Below are 5478 nucleotides of genomic sequence, written 5' to 3' on the forward strand. Positions count from 1 at the left end.
CTGGCAGAGTGTAGTGACTCATGTCTGTAATCCTAGTGCTTTGGGAGGCTGAAGTGGGAGGATTGCTTGAGGCCAGGGGTTTGAGATCAGCCTGGGAAACAACAAGACCTCTACAAAAAAAAAAAGAAAAAAAAAAATTAACCACATGTGGTGGCATGCACCTGTAGTCCCAGCTACCTGGCAGGCTGAGGTAGGAGGATCACTTGAGCCCAGGAAGGTAAGGATACATTGAGCCATGACTGTGCCACTGCACTCTAGCCTGGGTGACAGAAAGAGACTCTGTCTCAGAAATAAATTAAATAACTAAATAAATATATAGTGGCCATGACATCCCTAGAAAGACAAGGTCCTGGGAATAGGTAGAAGCCAAGGGAAATGAGAAATGAGAGGGGGCCCTGGAGCTGGAACTGGGGGAGCAGGATGGCCTCTGAGAAGTTCCTGATAGTGGTGTCACTGATGTGTCTGATGTTTAGTTGTAATTATTTGCTGGGCCCCTGTCATCCCTCATATCTGATAGCTCTTTGCTAGTCAAAGTGTGGTCTGGGGATCAGCGGCATCAGCATCACTTGAGAACTTGTTAGAGATGCAGAATCTAGAGCCCTACCCGGGACCCAGAAACAGAGCCTGCATTTTAACAAGCTCCCCAGGTGATTCTCACACACACTCGCATTTGAGAAGCACTGGGCTAGTTGACAGATTCTCAGGCATGGCTGACATTGAAATATCCAGGGAGCAGGCTTGGCATTAGGATGTTTAAAAGTCCTCCAGGTGTTTCTAAAGCCAGGTTTGAGGAATTACTGGGCTGATACAAATGTTTTGTGATGATGCTTTGTGTGTGTGTGTGTGTGTGTGTGTGTGTGTGTGTGTTGGGAGTTCTGGGTCAGTTGGCACCAACACAGGAAACAATTGAAATATGTGAGCCATGACAGAAAGGTCAGGAGATAAAAGAAATTAGTGACATGAGAGGTACTCCTCAGGTGTTAGGAAATAGGGTAGAGCAAACCAGGTTTTCCACCATATGTTGGATAGGGGTTCAAGTAAATTTCTACTTAAAAATTACAAACAGGGGCTGGGCGCGGTGGCTCATGCCTGTAATCCCACACTTTGGGAGGCTGAGGAGGGCGGATCACAAGGTCAAGAGATTGAGACCATCCTGGCCAACACGGTGAAACCGTGTCTCCACTAAAAATACAAAAATTAGCTGGGCATGGTGGTGCGTGCCTTTATTCCCAGCTACTCGGGAGGCTGAGGCAGGAGAATCGCTTGAACCTGGGAGGTGGAGGTTGCAGTGGGCCGAGATCGCACCACTGCAATCCAGAGCGAGACTGTGTCAAAAAAAAAAAAAAAAGAAAATTCCAAACAGGATGACCCTAAGCCTGCAGGACTTGGAGACATCTAGGTGACTGATACTCAGTCACAAAACATAATTGGTCACAGGCCTGATGAAATGCACAGCAGACCTTCAGATGGTATGCACTCAAGTGATATCCACAAGTCCACCTAAAGAAATGCTATATTCAAACATTTGGCATCAATCTCTATCAAACAAAGATAGTCCAAAGCAATGGGTTCCAAAAACACTTTCCTAAGACAAATTCTCTATTTGCTTTTAATATCAGTCATCCCAGCCCTTGGAATAGAGGAGCAAATGATACCAGTGGTACCCTACCACAATGCACCAAGGTATTATACTCTCATGCTCCATTTTCTCCCTCTGTCTACATCACTAATAACTCATTGATTTCTGGTGCAAGCCCTCCTGGGAGAAAAAGTCTACTCTTGTACCTTGGAGCAAGTTGTTCAGAGTAGGTATCGAGGATAAAATTTGGAAAGTTAGAAAAGCTATTAGAAGGAGATCCTAGTAGTTGAAAACACAGCCTGGCCAAGTCAATGATGCTATTTCATCTCCCCAGCCTTGCATGTCCATAGCTAAGGAAGACAATTTAGGCTTGGGCTAGAGGATGGGAAAGGGCAAAATTACTGATGCCACAGCCCAGAGAGGTATTCTAGTAATCTGAGGGTGAGGACCACATACCTGGTTCAGGGACGTACAGTGTTGACAGCTGTGAGTGGATGCCTGGAGTTCTGGCATGTCTTCTAGCACAATGATACCTGAGACTCTTGCATCATTGGGAATAATAAAATGGGAGTGGATAGATATGAAATTATGATGGCAATAAGCAATCAGCTAATAGCTTCATTGATGGGACAGATTAAAGATGGCTGCAGATCCTTTGGTCCAGGGTTGGGATACAGGCAGCATTTGTATTGGAATGCTGATAGTCTGAGGCCATGAAAAGTCCACCTGCAGTAGTGGTAGGAGGAACAAGCCTCACTTTCTTCAATGTGTGTGACTGCTGTCTTGATTCCCTGGGTGGCCAGTTCCATTCGTGTGGTTCTTTGGTCCACTTGACTCTGGGGTGGCTCTGTGATGGCTTGACCAATAGAATGTAGTGGAAATGATGCTGTAATCATTTCCAGCCTCTTCCAGCCTTAAGGAACTGGCAACTTTTATTTCTGTCCCTTGGAATACTTGTTCTTGCAACCCATCCATCATACAGTGAGAAATTCTAAGCTGCCCCCTTAAGAGGCCCACATGGTGATAAATTGGGGTCTTACATACAGCCCTAGCTGTGCTCCTAGCTGACAAACAGTAGCAACTTGTCACCAGGCGAGTGAACCACTTAGTACTGTATACTCCAGCCCCAGTTGAGCAATGTGGAACAGAGTAAACCATCTCAGCTTAGCCCTGCCCAAACTGCAGAATTATGAGCAAAATAATCCACTAGGCTTTGGGCTGATTTGTTCCAGATTACTGGAACAGAATTTGGTACCAGGGGTGAGGTGCTACAGCAATGAAAGCTTAAGACACGTGACTTTGGTTTTGGGTCTGAGTGGCAGGGGAGCTTGGCAGGCCTCAAGGAAACTTTTAGGGAGGGTTGAAGCATAGTGAGGAAAACAGTAGGGGAAGCTAGAGGAAAAAATGATGCTTGGTATGTAGTGGTGGGAAGTTTAGCAAAACTCGCCTGATGTAATGTGGGAAATTGTAAGAACTCAGAACGATTTAAGGGCATGTTTTATAGGTCCTTTAAGAAACTTCTAGCCCGGGCGCAGTGGCTCACGTCTGTAATCCCAGCACTTTGGGAGGCTGAGGTGGGCGGATCACAAGGTCAGGAGATCGAGACAATCCTGGCTAACATTGTGAAACCCCGTCTCTACTAAAACTACAAAAAAAAATTAGCCGGGCATGGTGGCGGGTGCCTGTAGTCCCAGCTACTAGGGAGGCTGAGGCAGAAGAATGGCGTGAACCCGGGATGTGGATCTTGAAGTGAGCCCAGATTGTGCCACTGCACTCCAGCCTGGGCAACAGAGTGAGACTCCGTCTCAAAAAAAAAAAAAAAAAAAAAAAAAAAAAGAAACTTCTAGGGCTGGTCCCATGGAAGCCTCACACATGGTACACAAAGGCTGTCTTGAAAAGAAACGTAAGTGTGTTTTTTGGTTTAATAAAATTGATTATAAATGGATAATGCAAAACATTTTAAAGAATTTTACTAGCTTACATTAGCAGATTTGGATCCAGTGATTGTTACATTCTGGTACTGAGCCCCTGAATTACTTCTTTGAGTAAGGCATTATACCAAAGCTATTGATAGTTGGGCTTATAGGGTGTATGTTTGAAGAACTACTAATGTCAAAACCAATATTTCACGGTCGACAAGAGGACATCAGAACTGGTAATCCTTATTACCATGACTGGCTGGACAGAATACTCAATGTAATGGGATTTCCTGCAAATAAAGACGGGGAAGATATAAAAAAGATGCCTGAACATTCAACATTAATGAAAGATTTCAGAAGAAATATGTATACTAACTGCAGCCTTATCAAGTATATGGAAAAACACAAAGTTAAACCAGATAGTAAAGCATTCCACTTGCTTCAGAAGTTTCTTACTATGGACCCAATAAAGTGAATTACCTGAGAACGGGGTCCCTGTTTCTTCGAAGACCCACTTCCTACGTCAGACGTTTTCACCAGTTGTCAAATCCCCTACCCAAAATGAGAATTTTTAACAGAAGAAGAACCTGATGACAAAGGAGCCAAAAAGAACCACCACCGGCAGCAGGGCCATAACCACACGAATGGAACTGGCCACCCAGGAATCAAGACAACGGTCACACACAGGGACCCCCGTTGAAGAAAGTGAGGCTTGTTCCTCCTACCACTACCTCAGGTGGACTTTTCACGGCCTCAGACTATCCGCGTTCCAATCCACATGCTGCCTATATCCCAACCCTGGACCAAGCACATCCCAGCCGAAGAGCAGTGTAGGATACTCAGCTACCTCCCAGCAGGCTCCACAGGACCCACGTCAGACACACGGGTACTGAGCTGCATCGGAATCTTGTCCGTGCACTGTTGTGAATGCTGCAGGGCTGACTGTGCAGCTCTCCGTGGGAACCTGGTATGGGCCATGAGAATGTACTGTACAACCACACCTGCCCAGTAGCCAAGTTCCTTCCACCGCTTTTCACAGATCGGGGTAGTGGCTTCCAGTTTGTACCTATTTTGGAGTTAGACCTGAAAAGAAAGCGCTAGCACAGTTTGTGTTGTGGATTTGCTACTTTCATAGTTAACTTGACCTGGTTCAGACTGACCAGTACTTTTTTTTCCGTGACAGTCTATAGCAGTTGAAGCTGAGAATGTGCTAGGGGCAAGCGTTTGTCTTCATATGTCATGAATTCCTCCAGTGTAACAACATTATCTGACCAATAGTACACACACAGACACAAGGTTTAACTGGTACTTGAAAACATACAGTAGGTGTTAACTCAGTGAAATAACCAGGACTCAAAGTGAGATTATTTTGGTACACCTTTCTTGTTAGTGTCTTATCAGTGAGTTGATTCATTTTCTACATTAATCAGTGTTTTCTGACCAAGAATATTGCTTGGATTTTTCTGAAAGTACAAAAAGCCACATAGTTTTTTTCAGAAAGGTTTCAAAACTCCTAAAGATTAATTTCCAAGTATAAGTTTGTTTTTATTTTCAATCTATGACTTGACTGGTATTAAAGCTGCTATTTGATAGTAATTAGATATATTCTCATTGATATAAACCTGTTTGGTTCAGCAAACAAACTAAAATGATTGTCACAGACAATGCTTTATTTTTCCTGTTGGTGTTGCTTGTGGGAAAAAGAAAGAGAGATCAGATTGTTACTGTGTCTGTGTAGAAAGAAGTAGACATAGGAGACTCCATTTTGTTCTGTACTAAGAAAAATTTTTCTGCCTTGAGATGCTGTTAATCTATATAACCTTACCCCCAACCCTGTGCTCTCTGAAACATGTGCTGTGTCCACTCAGGGTTAAATGGATTAAGGGCGGTGCAAGATGTGCTTTGTTAAACAGATGCTTGAAGGCAGCATGCTCGTAAGAGTCATCACCACTCCCTAATCTCAAGTACCCAGGGACACAA

At 44.2% G+C, this 5478-nt stretch overlaps 1 pseudogene; it reads left to right on the forward strand.

The window, feature by feature from the left end:
* Positions 3562 to 4932, forward strand: CDK8P2 (cyclin dependent kinase 8 pseudogene 2; annotated as a pseudogene).
* The last annotated feature ends 546 nt before the right edge of the window (positions 4933 to 5478 follow it).

Source organism: Homo sapiens, chromosome 2 (genome assembly GCF_000001405.40).
Source record: "Homo sapiens chromosome 2, GRCh38.p14 Primary Assembly".
Lineage (NCBI taxonomy): Eukaryota > Metazoa > Chordata > Mammalia > Primates > Hominidae > Homo > Homo sapiens.